This window comes from Homo sapiens, chromosome 13, assembly GCF_000001405.40.
Source record: "Homo sapiens chromosome 13, GRCh38.p14 Primary Assembly".
NCBI classification, from domain to species: domain Eukaryota; kingdom Metazoa; phylum Chordata; class Mammalia; order Primates; family Hominidae; genus Homo; species Homo sapiens.
This window is the reverse complement of record NC_000013.11, coordinates 95,750,210-95,768,438: the sequence shown is the minus strand read 5'-3', so window position 1 is coordinate 95,768,438 and position 18,229 is coordinate 95,750,210. Positions and strand designations below refer to the sequence as shown.

At 38.3% G+C, this 18,229-nt stretch overlaps 1 protein-coding gene across 2 annotated transcripts in view, besides 1 other annotated feature; it reads right to left on the bottom strand.

Moving 5' to 3' along the window:
- DNAJC3 (DnaJ heat shock protein family (Hsp40) member C3) overlaps nt 1–18,229 on the bottom strand; it is a 117,850-nt gene that overhangs the window by 26,550 nt on the left and 73,071 nt on the right. For both annotated transcript variants that reach the window (XM_011521104.3, NM_006260.5), the window contains 5 exons: nt 10,643–10,795; nt 8,218–8,399; nt 7,641–7,760; nt 4,691–4,796; nt 4,486–4,606 (listed from right to left, as the gene is read on the bottom strand). In XM_011521104.3, the coding sequence (XP_011519406.1) occupies nt 4,486–4,606; nt 4,691–4,796; nt 7,641–7,760; nt 8,218–8,399; nt 10,643–10,795 (682 nt within the window). The remainder of the gene's footprint in view (nt 1–4,485; nt 4,607–4,690; nt 4,797–7,640; nt 7,761–8,217; nt 8,400–10,642; nt 10,796–18,229) is intronic.
- Nucleotides 14,050–14,344: a silencer, noted in NCBI's record as "tiled region #4273; K562 Repressive DNase matched - State 5:Enh". NCBI's record gives its function as "represses a minimal TATA promoter and a strong SV40 promoter by Sharpr-MPRA in K562 cells {active_cell/tissue: K562}" and the evidence as "EXISTENCE:reporter gene assay evidence [ECO:0000049][PMID:27701403]".

Below are 18,229 nucleotides of genomic sequence, written 5' to 3'. Positions count from 1 at the left end.
TGGAGTTCATGCAGCAGTCACAGGTTAGTCCAAGAAGCTAGCTAGATATCCCACACAATATTGTTTATACAGAAAAGTCAATGCAAGTTCCAAACAACCTGAAAATGAGTACAGTGGAAACCACGGATTTAGATGTTGCTGAGCATTTTCTGAGCATCATCTTATTTAATAGCCACCACAATTCTAGGAGATAAGTACTATTCTTATTCCTATTTTACAGATAAGTAGAGTAAAAAGTAAATTAAATGACTTGATTGAAACCATATAGCAAAAAATAAATGGCATACTCCAAAGAAAATATACAAATGGCATATGAAAAGATGCTCAACATCACTAATCATTAGGGAAATATAAATCAAAACCAAAACCAGGTACCACCTCAAGCCCATTAAGATGGCTACTATTGAAAAAACAGAAAATCTAAAATGTTGACCAGCTGAGCAGTGTAGCTCACGCCTGTAATCCCATCACTTTGGGAGGCTGAGGCGGGTGGATCGCATGAGGTCAGGAGTTCAAGACCAGCCTGGCCAACATGGTGAAACCCTATCTCTACTAAAAATACGGAAAAAAAAAAGAAAAAAAAAAGCCAGGTGTGGTGGTGCACACATGCAATCCCAGCTACTAAGGAGGCTGAGGCAGGAGAATCAGCTGAACCCAGGAGATGGAGGTTGCAGTGAGCCCATATTGCACCACTGCACTTCAGCCTGGGCGACAGAGCAAGACTCTGTCTCAAAAAAAAAAAAAAAACCCAAAAAACTGTTGACGAGGATGTGGAAGAATCAGAATCTTTAATACACTGCTGGTAAAATTGTAAAATGGTGTAACCATGACAAAAACCAGTGTGGAGGTTCCTCAAAAAATTAAAAAAGAACTAGCATAATGATTTTGCAATCCCACTTCTAGGTAGATATCCAAAAGAATTGAAAGCGGGATCTCAGAGATATTTGCACACCCATATCCATGGCTACACTACTCCAATAGCCAAAAGGCAGAAACAACACAAACGTTCATCAGTGGATGAATTAATAAACAAAATGTGGGATATCCATACAATGGAATACTATTCAGCCTTAAAAGAAAAAGAAATCCTGTCACATGCTACAACATGGATGAACCTGGAGGATACTATGCTAAGTGAAACATGCCAAGCACAATAAGACAAACAGTATATGATTCCCATTATGTGAGGATCTAGCATAGTCAAATTCATAGTGACAGAAAGTAGAATGGTGGTTCCCAGGGGCCGAGGGAGAGGTAAAAAGGAGCGGCTGTTTAAGGGATACAGAGATCAGATTTGCACGATGAAAAAGTTCTGAAGATCTTTTTCACAGCAATGTGAGCATATTTAACTCTACTAAATTATACATGTAAAAATGGTTAAGATGGTAAATTTTATACTGTATCTTTTACCACAATTAAAAATAAAAAATGGAATAACTGGCCAGGCGTGGTGGCTCATGCCTGTAATACCAGCACTTTGGGAGGCCAAGGCAGGCAGATCACGAGGTCAGGAGTTCAAGACCAGCCTGGCCAACATGGTGAAACCCTGTCTCTATTAAAAACACAAAAATTAGCCAGGCATGGTGGCACAGTTCCTGTAATCCCAGCTACTCAGGAGGCTGAGGCAGGAGAATTGCTTGAACCGGGACCCGGAAGGCGGAAGTTGCAGTGAACCGAGATCATGCCACTGCACTCCAGCCTGGGCTATAGAGCAAGACTCCATCTCAAAAAAAAAAAAAATAGAATAACTGCACAAAGCCAGACTCAAAGGCAGGACTAATTCTAAATTCCATACTCTCCACTATGACTTTTGTATAATAAATAAATTACCTTCATTCATTCAGCAAAGATGAGTGCCAGCACAAGCACCAGGACTGCATCAGTTAATATAACAGCCACAGGTCTCTGCCCTCACACAGCTTAAGTTCTAGCAAATATAACTGATCATTTCATAAGGACACCTGAGTTACCCCTATATTCAAAGAAACTTTGCCAATATTTTAGTACTGCTTCAATGTCAGTTTTTTCCTCTCAAAAGCTATTAAAACAGAGACATGTAGCGATCTGAAGAGTTTCCCTTGATTTTTCAAGATCTCAGAGGCATCCTCAAATAACAGTCTTACTTTACTTGCTTTCTATTGAGTGGAATCCCCTGTTTCCTGATAATTCTATCATAAGCCCCAAATTAATAAATGTCCATGTTCCATTATTCACTAACCTAAACCTATTCATTCTTTATTATGTACCTGCCATCACTTTAAATTGCTTATCTAAGAAAGGTAAAACCAGGAAGCAGAAGAATATGGAAAGCATATTTCTAACTCAAGATTTCAACTGAAGACATACTGTTATTTAGCTAAGTAAGATTATTATTTATTTACATCATTTATACTAAACCTCTGATTCCAGTCCAAACAAGTCAGGTAATACCTATCAGTTTCAGTTATACAGGCTCTTTTCCTTTCTTTCTTTCTTTTGCAAATGTAGACAGCTGGCAACTATTCTCTCTCTCTCTTTAATAAATTCCTATAGAAAAGAATTTTTTCCAGGAAACAACAGACTTCAAAGACATATCAATTGGGCAGGGCCAATTGATCCTAGCACTTTGGGAGGCCAAGGCAGGCAGATCACCTGAGGTCAGGAGTTCAGGACCAGCCTGGCCAACATGGTGAAACCCCATCACTACTAGAAGTACAAAAATGAGCCAGGCGTGGTGGTGCACACCTGTAATCCCAGCTACTCAGGAGGCTGAGGCAGAAGAATTGGTTGCAATTGGGAGGTGGAGGTTGCAGTGAGCCAAGATTGTGCCACTGCACTCCAGCCTGGGTAACAGACCAAGACTCCATTTCCAAAAAAAAAAAAAAAAAAAAACAGATCAATTATATTAAATTAGCACTAAGCATCTTTTTCTTCCAGAATTAAGCCATCAGGTTTCCCCAAAAAGCAAGTCAGTTTAACATTCAAGTTCCAAATGCATCTTTCAAATTACACTTAGCATTCTACAAGATTTAGCCTTTTTTTTTTTTTTTAACAGCTAAGCTCTTTATATTCTTCTGTAGCTTCTCTAATTTCGCAGTGAGAGCTAAGGGTTTACATACAGATGACAAAAGTATCTTTGATAAAGAGTTCCAAAAGCTAACTGGAATGCAAATCCTAGAGTAAAACCATCTCACCGAGTAGACACGGTAGCTCAAAAGGAAAGAAAACGAGTATGCTAAAGGGATTTTCTATGTGGACTACATGCCTTATTGAAGCATGCTTATAAATATTAAAGTGTCATTTTGACTGCATTCATTTCAAGCCTCATTCAGAGACCTCAAGGTCTGAATCCCCCACAAGATGTCCCACAAATAGTAGTGACCAGGTTGTCATCATTCCCTGGAAACTGGGAACTTGCTTAGGAGCAAGATTCTTTTCTAATTGAGGAAAGCAGGGAAAAAGAGATTGACCAGTTTTGCCTTAAAAAGAGTATCACAAACCAAATTTTACCATTCGAACCCTTCATTTAACTGTAAGAGAAAATTACTGTTTTTGATTTAAAATGCTTTACCTGAATTTGAAACAAAATATTTGCAATAAGGGCTTATAAGGCTCATTTATTTTTTTAAAAACCTGTATCATTTAAATGTTCATAACATAGTGTCACATGAAAAAAGGCACAAAACTATATATATATATGTATATATATACATGTATTATATATGTATATATATATATGTGTATATATATATGTATATATATATGTGTGTGTGTGTATATATATATATATATATATATATATATATATATATATGGATTCTATTTTTCAAAAACTGTATATTACTGTATACGCCGTAGTTATCTTCCAAAAACAGGACACTGCTTTTATCCAAGGACCTCACAACATCTGGCAGGAATCTCTTGTTATTTCATTTGGCTTGAACAAAATAGGGTAGCAGCTGTCCTATGTTACTAAACAGCTTGGGGTCACAGAGGATCATTTTATATTAGGGATATATGACATGTATGTATGCTTTCTGTATTTATGTTTTATACACACCGAGTATATATATATATATATATAGAGAGAGAGAGAGAGAGAGAGAGAGAGAATATGTATATGTGCATAAAATATAGAGTAATATATGTGCATAGATAAAAGCTGGAAAAGATAAATGCAAAATGAACAGTGATTACTTCCGGATAACATGAGAGCTACAATTTAAATTTTCTATTTTGTTATTTTTTTTCCTTTCTACAAAAAAAGCTAAAATATTTATTTTTCTATTGTACTGAACTGGTTTCAATGGCAGAACTCTTTCCTCACATGGTATACCTTTCAGGTTCCACTATGGAAGAGTAATTTTCAAGTTCTCTGCCATTTTTCTAAAATTGTCAACATTTCCAGGTACTCTGGTAAATTTGTTTTAAGGAAAAGGAAGCTTAAAATGTGATAATTTCCTAATCAACACTTCGGTACTGCAAATCAAATCCTTAAAGATTTACCTTCATCATACATTTCCTCTATCAAATAGGCCTCTGCTCGATCTTTCAGGGCATTCACATTGTCAGGTTCCATCTGTAAAACTTCAGAACAAACCCTAATAGCTTCAACAGGCTTCTCGTCCTAAAAGGAAATGTGAGACAAGGATTTATGGTTGGTATTCCACATGTTGAGTTTTCACATTTCTGGGAACAAGTCAACTGTTACCTTAGAAAAGCAGTGGCAAATCCTCTCCTTTGAACGAACTGTATATTCAGCAATGCTTGGCTCTGTTTTCATGACAGATTCATATTTGCTGGTAGCATCTGTGTATCTAAGAAATGAGCAAATCATGATAAGAAATGATGACATTTGATTTCCAGAGCTGTAGAAAGGCTCCTCCCCTCTTCACCATGTGTTGCTTAATCAATCCAATTGGATGAGCCCATGGCTTCAGATTCGGCTTTTCCCTTATTAATCTAGAGTCCCATAGAAGGTACACTCCATAATTAAGAGTTAGGAAATAAAAACATATGACCATAGGAGATGCAGATGGACAGAACAAAGCATACCTGTGAGTATAAGTACCAATCAAACCAGAAGAATTTCCTTACAGAAACATTGCTCAGAATTCCAAACCTGAGTAAAACACCCTGTTGAAGTCTGACTTACACTGAGCACCTTGAACAATACAGAGATCAAGTTTTATTTCTTGGTCAGTAAACACTTCCATGAAAATAATGGAACCCATTACGTGCCATTTTATATAATTAATGTCAGTATTTACAACAAAGTACAACGTAGTTCACACAAAAGGTACCTGATTAAATTCCCAACTGTATAAGCTTTCTAAGAATAAAAGCTATTTCAGCATTTTCTTTAAACCAGTAAAAAGTACTAATCCTGTTATATACTCAGTTATTTCCCTCAACAATAGTAAAGTAAAAAATATGTTTCTATGCCATGGTGGCACACTATTCCCAAAGTGCTACAATCTTCATATGTAAATATGCCAATGTATTAAAACACAGGCTTAACTAAAACATTTAAAATAAAAGCCAGCTTCTCTATCATCCTCAGCAAACTAACGCAGGAACAGAAAACAAAGCACTGCATATTCTCACTCATAAGTGGGAGCTGAACAATGAGAACACATGGACACAGGGAGGGGAACATCACACACGGAGGCCTGTGTGGGGCAGGCAGCAAGGGGAGGGAGAGCATCAGGACAAATAGCTAATGCATGTGGGGCTTAATACCTAAGTAATGGGTTGATAGGTGCAGCAAACCACCATGGCACACGTTTACCTATGTAACAAACCTCCACATTCTGCACATACATCCTGGAACTTAAAGAAGAAAACAAAAAAGCCAGCTTCTGGGAAAGTGGAATAGATGTATTTGTCCCAAGTGCTCCAGCTAAGCACAACTAAAAAACCCTAGAGATTATATGTATATTTTTTAAAATAGAAAACTTTCAAAGGAGGAAAAGAGACAGACTAGCTAGTGACTCAGGACCTGAGGAAAACATGGTAAGACGTTCCCTGGGTTCTTTTTTTTTGTTTCATATATCCCAGACTTGGAGCTGAAGATTCCAGCAATGCAGAAACGCCAACAGGTACAGAACGACAATAACAAAAACCTGCAGAAGTCTGCTCTGTCTAGCCAGAGGACCTGAAAAGGACAGACTTGCAAACAGAAAACATTTTTTTTAGAGACGGAGTTTCGCTCTTGTTGCCCAGGCTGGAGTGTAATGGCACAATCTCGGCTCACCGCAACCTCAACTTCCCGGGTTCAAGCGATTCTCCCACCTCAGCCTCCGCAGTAGCTGGGATTACAGGCATGCGCCACCACGCCCGGCTAATTTTGTATTTTTAGTAGAGACAGGGTTTCTCCGTGTTGGTCAGGCTGGTCTCAAACTCCCAACCTCAGGTCCTTCAATGGATAAATGGTTAAACAAACTGCAGTAAATCCATACCATGGAAACTACTCAACAGTAAACAAGGAGGAATTATTGATACAATATGGATAAATCTCCAGACAATTCGAATGAGGGGGAAAAAAGCCCATCCTGCCAGCTGTGGTAGCATGCATCTGAAGTCCCAGCTACTCAGAAGGCTGAGGCAGAAGGATCACTTGAGTGTACTATGACTGTATCTGTGAACAGGTGGGCAACATAGTGAGATTGTCTCAAAAAAAAAAAAAGCCAATCCCAAAAGTTTATACATTGTATGATTCTATTTATGTAACATTCTTAAAATGACAGAATTCTACAAGTGAATAGATTAGTGGTTGCCACAAGCTAAGGAAGGGATAGGAACAAGAGGGAAGTAGGTGTGGCTATAAGGGCAACATGAGGTGTCCTTGTTGGGATGGAATTATTCTGTATCTTGACTGCACCCACGTCAATATCCTGATTGTGACAATGTACTATAGTTTTGCAAGGCGTTATAGTCTGCAAGATGTTGGGGGAAACCGAGTGAAGCATTCTCATGATGGCAACTTACAAAGCTACTAAAAGTAGAGGAATTGGAGCCTATTTTCTATTAGGCAGTTTTGTCTGCAGTGCCCTCTACTCTTTTCAGTCCTCCTGCCCAGCCTATAAACCCCCTACAAACAACACTCACACAGACACAGCCTCTTACTTCTGTCCACTTTTACTTATTCTTTAGGATTAGGATTTAAATATCTATCACCTTCTCTAAAAAAAAAAGCTCCTCTTTTACTCCTTGCCTTTACCATCCTGGTTTGGAGTAAATACTCCTCTTTGGTACTCCAATTATCCTATGTACATTCTATCACTTTGGTATCATATTGTCTTTTAATAATCAATTCATATATTTGTCTCCCACGCAATGCTATAAACTTCTTAAGAACAAAAACTATTGTCAAGTTTAAGTCTGCACCCTCAGTACATAGCTCAGCCTGATATAGGAGATAATAAATATTTGGTATAGTACAAGTAATTCTGCTGGTAAGGATACTACACAGTTACTATTATTTATATTCTTCCCTATTCCAAAAATGTCCAATTCTGGTAGTTTTGCTAAGGCCCAGGGCTATCTAGAATACCCCACCCTCAATGGCTGAGAAGTAAAAGAGCAGTTCTGTAGTTCACTTGTGCCCACAGCCCCGCACATAAGGAATGGCTGGACAGTTGGAACAACCATATTCTCACCTGCCATCTCTGATGAGCTCTTCAGCTGACTCAATCAGCTTATTAAGTTTCTTTACTTGTTTATAGTGTGCAAAACACCTTTTATGATCCTGGTCAAGTTTAAGACATTCCCGAACTTCACTGTTCATGTATTTAAAAAAGGAAAATACTCCATGTCAAAACAATCAATGAGTAGTTTTCCACAGAAATCACAATAAAAGTATTTTTTGTTTGCAACGATTAAACAAAAACCATACTGAGACTTATAATTTACTATATACATTTATACGTGGCATTGTACCATGCATACATTTGTTAATTCAAATTAAAATGACTTACTAGCATTATATAGTAAACATTCCATTTTGTTTCTATAAATATAAGAGCCTTCCTGTTTAATAAGCAGCTTCATGAAAACAAACTATGTGGAATTAAAGTAACTTGGGAATAACACAAAATATATAAATGGATATACAATATAAAAACAGCCTTAACTACCATCATCTTATTAATTTAATATTAAAATGTTAAAACAAGATGAGGTAATCTTACTGCCAACAATTAAAAAAGATCAGACATGTGTGTCACTAGAACTGACCTGAGGGACAGTTCGTGGTCTCCTAGTTGGTAGTACAGTGTGCTTATTTTATAAAACGCTTCAGTATTATCATTCTTCAACTTTGACGCAGCTTTTAAGTCACTTATAGCTTTCCTAGGTTCTCCTTCTTTTATAAAACATTCAGCTCGAAGTTCCCGTAGTTCTGCATCCCAAACACAAACCTTGAGGAACAAAAGAACTAGACTTTAAGAAAGAATAAATTATGCACATTCATTGTTGCATTCCACGTATTTTTTATCTACGTATTTATCAACATAAAACATTCTCAATTGATGTGATGACTTATATAGTGCAAATATTATTTTAAAATCTGATACAATTTAAATGTGACAAAACTGATGTGACAAAATAGTTTCTCCAAAAATGTTGTAAATGAATTCTAATGGGGGAAGAGATATATATAATAACAAGGCCCTTTTCTTACCTCCTTCGATTATATAATTCTAAGACACTGAAAATAAGAAAACATAGCATTTACTATTGGAGGGTTGTTCCTAGTGAAGCATATTTGAAGAGAATATTCTGTTATCAGATTTTTATACTTAATCAACAATTCTAATTTGTAGTCAAAAAAATAAAACCTAGGTTCTACATTGGCAAAATACTTTTTTCTGCTAATAACCACATTATGTTCTTAGCTGGGCACATTGACTCATGCCTGTAATTCCAGACCAGCTTAGGCAGCAAAGCAAGATCTCATCTCTATAAAAAGTTTAAAATTATTAACTGGGTGTGGTGGAACACACCAGTGGTCCCAGCTACTCAGGAGGCTGAGATGGGAGGATCACTTGAGTCCAGGAGTTCAAGGTTACAGTGAGCTACAATCGCACCACTGCACTCCAGTCTAGGTAACAGAGAGAGACCCAGTCTCTAAACAAAAACCTTTTTTAAGAAATTATCTTCTGTAAATGTCACCGCCTTAAAAGTAAATCCTCATATCAAGAAAAAGAAAGAAAGAAAGAAAAAATACCGTGAGAGGGCAGGAGGTTGAGGCTTCACCATTCCTATTTTATCAAAAAGTCCATAAGGGTTTAGGAAACACAATAGTATTCTTCAAATCATAAACCCAAGAGCTCATCAATAAGGCTGGTGGAAGTATCTTTGCATATTTCTTAGAGCTGCTCTAAAGTCGTATCGACTTTTCACATATACAAAAATATCAAAACCAACATTATACATAAATATCATGGACAATGAACTAAGTTCAAAATGGATAGTCTATGGGAATGTAAAAATGTAAACTATATTTCCTTAAAAAAGCATAAACAAAATAACCCAGTAAAACATGAATTCTACTGGACCATATCACAATATCTTCTGTAAAATTATCAACAAATTGCCCATTCTACATACATCATAAGTTTAGAGCCAAAATTAAATGAAACTGTATATCAAAATACTGTGAAAATCACAAATAAATGTGAATTACGACTGCTTCCATTTGAATATTTCAGTAGACTTCCTTCGGAAATCAGTTGTCATTAAATCCTTCAGAGGCAAGGAAACCTAGACTCAGGTTTCCCTAGCTAGAACTCTCTGGATCCTATCAACCATTATTATTATTAACTTTTTTTTTTTTTTTTGAGACGGAGTCTCACTCTGTGGCCCAGGCTACAGTGTAGTGGCTCACTGCAACCTCTGCTTCTCAGGTTCGAGCGCCTCAGCCTCCCGAGTAGCTGGGATCACAAGCATGCACACCACACCCAGCTAATTTTCTTTTTTTTTTTTTTAGACACAGGATTTTGCCATGTTGGCCAGGCTAGTCTCAAACTCCTGGCCTCAAGTGATCCACCCACCTCGACCTCCCAAAGTGCTGGGATTACAGGCATGAGCCACCACACCCAGCCAATTATTAATATTTTTAGAGGCAGGGTCCCATTCTGTCGCCCAGGCTGGGGTACAGTGGAGCAATCACAGCTCACTGCAGCGACAAATTCTTGGGCTCAAGTGATCCTCCAGCCTCAGCTCCCAAGTAACTAGGACTACAGGCACATACTATCAACTCTTTATCTGCCTTATTCTCTAGAAATTTTTCTCTAAACATTCCTCTTTCCTCCCGAACATCATTTTTCCTTTTACTCCAACCATCTTTTTCATCTTTTATCCCATTATCTAACCGCTAGAGTTTTCTTCCCAAAAAAATACAAAATCAACTAAAATAGCAAAGCAAGCAATTTATAAACATATTTAACTCTCATGCCACAGCACATTCAGTACATTTACTGAAAACTTCAGTCCAAATTTTGTTGTCTAGGAACACTATTTTATACTTAAGAGGCAAAAGCCCAAGGACCAACCTGATTTTCTCCTGTCTAGGTCTTTGTGGTATGTGACATGTCGAAGTATATAAATGTGCCTTACAATAAGTGTCAGGCTGGTCAACTGCAGTATCTAAGAAACTTACCTCTAAAATCTTATCAAGGAAGGCTATAGCAGCAGTATAATCTCCACTTCCAAAAGCGTTAAGTGCTTGTGAACGCAAACGCTGCATTTCATCAGATTTTATAAGTTGAGACTGTGCTTCCTTTTCTTCATTTTCACTTGGATTAGATTTGAGCTATAAGGAAAATAAAAAACTAAGCAGAGTTTTTAATCTCTTAAATCTGATACCTGTAATATACACAAGGGTAAACCATTCCAAATACTTAAGTTCATTGGGTAAAAAGGGTAAAGAGATACTGGAAAAACTGGCTTGTCTGATGACTGGATGCAGCAGGGAAGGCCCTTGATTTCTACCGATATGGTCCATGAGCATGAACAACAGATCTAGACTCAGAAGACCTGGGTCCCAAAAACTTACCGGGAAGCAAATACATGTAGGCACGTGAAAGGACAGAGAAGAACGGAGGAAGGAAAGCACGTTTTTCACTTTCTTACATATAGCTCTGCAGAATAAATTAACTTGAGTTTTATTTATTTTGCCTTCTACTTATAGTTCCTAAGTATTTTTTTAAGTATAAAATAACCAAAATAATGAAACACATAGGGAAACTGAAAGAAGGGGCCAGCTTTTTTAGAGGTTGTAAGATTTAAAAAAAGATCTGATACCAAAAGGGTTAAAGTACAAGAAAGAATTTAGAAGGAAATAAGAGTAATACCTTACTAAAAGGTGCATGATGTGGCTTTAAGAGATCTGCACACTGCCTCTTTTTAAAATAACTTTATAAAGACATAATTTATATAGCATAAAATTGCTCATTTCAAATGTACAATTCTATGATTTTTTAAAAAATAAATTTACCAAGTTGTGCAGCCATCACCACAGTTTTAGACCATTTCCATCACCCCAGTAAGATCCCTTGTTTTTACTTACAGTTCATCCCCACTCCCAACCCCAGCCCTGTGCACAGGGACTCTTAACAATTTCTTCCTCCAGACAAAAAATAATTATCTCAGAAAACCAGGTAGCTACATTTTTTTAAGCCTGAGGGAGGGGAGGTTAAGATTGTAGTTTATATTTAATAATTTTTGAAATCTTAATATTCTTACTAAGATGCAAACTATAACTAAAGGGTTCCAATTTTGGGTTAGGTACAGACAAGGGAAAGTTAATTCTAGAAATCTCCCTCCTCAATGAGTCAATCATATTCCTCCTTTCAGTGGATTAATTTTTAAAATATACTCCCACTACCAACCTGGTGGGACAGAACACTCCAAATGAGAAACTTTATCAATATTATTTCTTGGTAAGGGTTTTATACTTGTCCATTTTGTGTTTTAGGATATTTTAGCTATTCTATTTTAGCTATTCTATTTTGTCTGTTTTAACCCTTGACTTGTGAAGAACAGGACTTGAAGTACTCATTGGTAACTAGGAATTGGTAACCTCCACTCACTCTGGGGGAGGGTTTCCCGGAATGATTGCATCATCCAGTTTAAGGGTGTTGTTTGGAGTCAGACATGCTTGTCTCTGTCTGTTTTATCATCCTTAGGGTGGTCTTGAATACTTCGGATAAACCCCATCGGAGAGAGTATGAATGTGTGTGCACTGTCACTTTGCTCTGGGTAAAAGTTTATTGATAACGTGTTTCCTATGAGTACACTACTGACCCTCTTAGATAGAATGTATCAAAGACTGACTGCCTCTTCAGGATCGTATTTGCACCTTTTTTTCCTCTCAAACATTGGAGTCTAATTTCTTCCACACAATTTTTCTTGTTGGAAGGTGAGAGGAGAAGCCCTAAATCTCGGGACAGAGGCTGGAGGGCTCAGGTAATGGAAACAGGAAAGAGGGAGTGAGCTCAGGTCATCTAGGCCTCTGTGAGGCCAGAAGAGAGGTGGGGAAGAGGGAGAGAGGATTCTTCCAAGGAAGTAAGAAAGGAGTTGGAGAAACGAGGGGCTTCCTTAGAAGCCTGAGAGTTTCAAAGAGAGTCAAGCCAGATGAAATTAGGGTTTTGGGGGATTTTTTTTTATTCTTTTTTTTTTTTTTTTTTTTTTTTTTTTTGAGACGGCGTCTCGCTCTGTCACCTAGGCTGGAGTGCAGTGGTGCAATCTCAGGTCACTGCAACCTCCGTCTCCTGGGTTCATGCAATTCTCCTGCCTCAGCCTCCTGAGTAGCTGGGACTACAGGCATCCGCCACCATGCCCGGCTAATTTTTGTATTTTTAGTAGAGATGGTGTTTCACCATATTGGCCAGGGTGGTCTCGAACTCCTGACCTTGTGATCCGCCCGCCTCAGCCTCCCAAAGTGCTGGGATTACAGGCGTGAGCCACTGAGCCAGGCCCATTTTTTTATTCTTTAAAGAGACAGGGGACAGGGTCTTGCTCTGTCTCCCAGGCTGGAGTGTAGTGGCATGTTCTTAGCTCACTGCAATCTCCAGCTCCTCAGTTCAAGCAATCCTCCAGCCTCAGCCTCCCAAGTAGCTGCAACTACAGGTGCATGCCACTACAGCCAGCTAATTTTTTATTATTTTTTGTAGAGACAGGGTTGTCTCACTATGTTGCCTAGGCTGGTCTCCAACTCCGGGCCTCAGGTGATCCTCCTGTCTCAGCCTTCCAAAGCACGGGATTACACATATGAGCCACTGTGCCCGTCTGAGATGAAGATTTTTATTATTACCATGAGGCTGTTGACTCCTCTCAATCACCCCCTTGTTTTCTCTACACCTGCATGTAGAGAATGGCCCTTGCTGACAATTCCCTCATTCTTCCCTTTTTCATGTTTCTTGACATCCTTTCTCTTCCTTAGGGCTTTCACATTTCTGACTCTTTCTGCCAAATCCCTTCCTGTAACAATATTTTATATTTTTTACTTCTCACTATGTATCCTGGTCACTGAGCTTCTGGAAAAATAACCCGTAATAGCTACGGGATGGGGGCTTGTTCAAAGAGATGATCTGCCTTCTGTATGACTGCACCTCTACTTCTGGCGCCTCAAATAAAAACACCAGGTTGGCAGTTGTGGTAAGCAGCCTTCTAAGATGGCCCCCAGTGATCCTCGCCTCATGGTATTCATGCCTTTCTGGAGCATGAGGTGGACCTGGTAACTCCTTTTAACAAACAGAATAACCCGGCTAATTTTTTCTGTTTTCAGTAGAGACAGGTTCTCACTATGTTGTCCTCCTGGACTCATGTGATCCTCCCACCTTGGCCTCCCAATGTGCTGGGATTACAGGCGTGAGCCACTGCACCCAGCCCATGCCTGGCCTTTTTTTTTTACATTTAAATCTTTGATGCATTTTGAATTTATCCTACTATAAGGTAAGAGAGGTATGAACCTAGGCCTATTGTTTTGCAGTATAAAAGTTTGTTAAAAAACAGAGTATGACCAAAGTGATAAGCTGTCACGTCCTTGATTAGGTCACAAAAAACTGACTTCCATGGTGCTAGCACTCCCTCTCACCTTCTCACTTGCTGGCTCTGATAAAGCAAGCTGCCATGTTGTGACATGTGAGAGGCCCGTGTGAGAAGCAACCAAGGGAAGACTTTGGCCAACAGTCAAACACCTCAAGAGGAACTAAACCCTGCCAGCTGAGTAAGTTTAGGGGCGGATCGTTTACTGGCCAAGCCCTCAGCTACTATTGCAGCCCATCTCACATCTTGACTGTAGGCCATGACCCTGCAGTAAGCAGCAGACCCTGCTACACCATGGCCAGATTCCTAACCCCATAAACTGTGAAATCATATAAATGTGTGTTACTTAAGCTGCTAACGTTGGATAATGTGTTATCTAGCAGCAGATAGCCAACACAGGAGTAACACAGTGTGGAAGTTTTACCATTTCTCAGTGACCGGGCTGTGAATATTTCCAAACAGATATTGCTTTTAAATAAAGTCTAGATGAATGAATTAATTAAACCCCATTCCTGGCAATCAGTAATTACCTATGTGTTTTCTGCATTTTCTTTACCAATAAAAGAGGGATAATAATACCAATATCCTGTAGGGCAGTCACTGAGAGATTAAGAAGATACTCTATGTAACACATAGCAAGTACTCCAAAAAGTGCTAATACACACTTTAAAAAGATGCTCAATTTATTTTCCATTGCATTAGATATTAGCCCACTTAAACTGGGTCCCTTGTATTAAAGTTACAGTGATTAAGGTCCTAGAATAATAGAACCTTTCTTTGACTTCTCTGAATTCAAAATAAAATTAGACTTTGGCATAAAATATATTCAATGAATTGCTAATTCCTCAAGAAATTAATATTTCTAATTCTATTTAATTAATGTTTTGGGATAAGTAGCAAAAATTTAAATTTTCATTTGATATTATTTGATAACATAGAAAAATATGTAACACTTGAGGTATATGCAACATTACATTCTGCAGTGACTTCTAGAATTTGCCTTCACATATTCTTTCTGCAGTCTTTGTTAAAAGAACTATATAAAAATAACACTAATTTGAATGTCCAAAAAAAAGAAAAAGAAAAAAACATAAAGAACTGTTTTTGGAAACAATAGTATACAAGTCAGGGGGTGAGCGACTGAATTAAAGCATTCTAAAATCCTTGTGTTTTGATTACCTTGTTAAACATGCATATTAAAATTCCTGAGGTAACGAGTATGAGAAAAACACACAGCATGTACAACCATACGGAAAGAACAGACTAAGGAAGAAGCAGCTAAATCCATTAGGGGTGGGGAGAGAGCAGGAGGGAAGAAGAAGGAGGATGGACGAATGGAAAAGAAATAGTTGGATAACTAGAACCCAACAGAAATATACACAAGAGACCTCAAAGGGCCTTTCTCACATTAACAGGTTAGCAAAATTCACACTATCTGTTCACATGAAGTGTTGAAGAAGTGGCATACCTAGAACTCCCCTATGCTGCTGGTGGGAATATAAATTCACATAACCACTTAACAGGACAGGCCAAATTTCTCTGCCACGCTAAAAATACCCATAACCTTAAAGTAGTAACCACTCTCTGAGGCAGATAACACTGTAGCAGTGATTCTCAAAGTGTGACCTAGGAACCCCTGGGATTCCTTAGTGCCCTTTCAGGGGTCTGTGAGTACAAAAGCATGTATGGATAAAAGATAAAGAACCCATTCAAAGGGCAAGATAAACCAATGCATTTTATTATAACAGAGAGTGCTGTAAGTTAATTAATAAGGATTCAGAGTCCATATGTAACTAACCTATATAATCGCGAGTGGAGTTTTGTGGAACATCAAAGAAGAATACTCGTAATTATCTAAAAAGAATACAAAAACATTCTTCCTTTTCTACCTGCATATCTGTGAGGCCATAGTATCTTCAATATACTTCAACCAAAGCACAAATCACAACAGATTGAATATAGAAGCAGATATGAGAATTGTTATCTTCAATTAAGACAGATATTAACAAAATTTGCAAATATGTGAAACAAATACTACTCTTAATAATAAAATTTGGTTTTTGAAAAGTTATTTTTACACAAAAAATACATTAACATGTAGTAACTTTTCATTAAGTTATTTTAATTTCTCAAATTTATTTCTAATATAGTAAATACCGATAAACAAAGCTCTTTGGTGACCTCAGTAATTAACACTATAATGAGATCCTGAGGCCAATCCCAAGAACCACTGTCCTAGACACACCCTGCACAAGGAAAACGGACACAGAGGATGAGCTCAAATAGTTGATTAATTCATAACTAATGAAGCAGGAAAATGTAAGGATATAGCTAATTGATGTGGTTTGGCTGTGTCCCCACCCAAATCTCATCTTGAATTGTAGCTCCCATAATTCTCATGTGTCATGGGAGGGACCTGGTGGGAGGTAATTGTATCACGGGAGTGGGTCCCTCCCATGCTGTTCTCATGATAGTAAATAAGTTTCATGATCTGATGGTTTTATAAAGGGCAGTTCACCTGCACATGCTCTCTTGACTGCTGCCATTTAAGAAGTCCCTTTGCTCCTCCTTCACCTTCCACCATGATTGTGAGGCCTCCCCAGCCATGTGAAACTGTGAGTCTATTAAACCTCTTTCCTTTATAAATTACCCAGTGTCGGGTATGTCTTTATTAGCAGCATGAGAACAGACTAATACAGCTAATGTCTCCTAATTGTAACACATAAAACAGATACCTTCAAAAATTCCAAAAGACTCTTGTGCCATCTTGTAGTTTTTAATCAAACCACTCTGTTTTCTCAAGTCCCACCTCCTCCAAGCTTTCTGGAGTAATCGCCTTTCCTCTAAATATTTATATCACTTTAAGAAACCCTTCAAAATGGAGGTATCCTAAGAAATCATCTTGTCCAATTAACTCTCACATTATAAGTGAAAATCCTGAGTCTCACAGACAGTAAACAACTGGCCCAACATCACACAGTTAATCAAGAGAAAAACTGAAGTGGGTCTCCTATGTAGTTCTCAATCTTATCTTGTTACCTAGACAGCTCATATGTCAACTTCTCACAAGTTTCTCTGTATTGTTCATCTTGCACATACATGTTTAGGACTTATTTCCTGCAACTAAAGTGTAAATTGCTAAAGAGCAGAATATATGTCTTTTTTGTTAAATTAGACAGGGTCTCCCTCTGTCACTCTGGCTGGAGTGCAGGAGCATGATCAGAGCTCACTGTAAACCTCAGAGCCCTGGGTTCAAGTGATCCTCCTGCCTCCACCTCCCAAGTAGCTAGGACTACAGGTATGTGTCACCATACCCAGTTAATTATTTTATTTTCTGTAGAGACATGGCCTCACTATGTTGCCTAGGTTGGTCTCAAGCTGCAATCCTCCCACCTTGGCCTTCCAAAGTGCTGGGATTACAGGTGTGAGCCTCCTCAACTGGCCCTAGAATATATGTCTTAAGTCTATTTTGTATACTTACTACAGATAACTTCCCACTAGAGATGCTTCCTTGCTTTTCTTTTTCATCTAGTACTAAGAATACTACCCATGAGCTTGGTTTTACTATTTCCAGTTTACAGACAAATTGAATAATTGGGCCAGGTGTGGGGGCTCAGGCCTGTAATCCCAGCACTTTGGGAGGCTGAGGTGGGTGGAATACTGGAGGCCAGGAGTTTGAGACCAGCCTGGCCAACATGGAGAAACATCATTTCTACTAAAAAATACAAAAATTAGCTGGGAGTGGTGGCGCAGGTCTGTAATCCCAGCTACTTAGGAGGCTGAGGCATGAGAATTGCTTGAACCTGGGAGGCAGAGGTTGCAGTAAGCAGAGATCACACCACTGCACTCCAGCCTGGGCAACAGACCAAAACTCCATCTCAAAAAAAAAAAAAATTGAATAATTATATAACTTGCTGTAAGTCTTGCTTAAATTCAAACTAAGGTCTCTATCTCTAAAGCCCATGCTATAGATGACGATGGAGATCAATCATGACAGCAGAAAACACTTATTGAGAGCTTTCTGTGCTCCAGGCACTACTCTAAGCTAAACCTAAAACCTTAAAGGGCAGATCAGATTATCTCCCTTCTATACAGGAGTAAACTGTGGGGTTTGTTTTCTGGGTTTTTTTTTTTTTTTTTTTTTTGAGACAGGGTCTTGCACTGTCACCAGGCTGGAGTGCAGCCATTTATTGAAGAG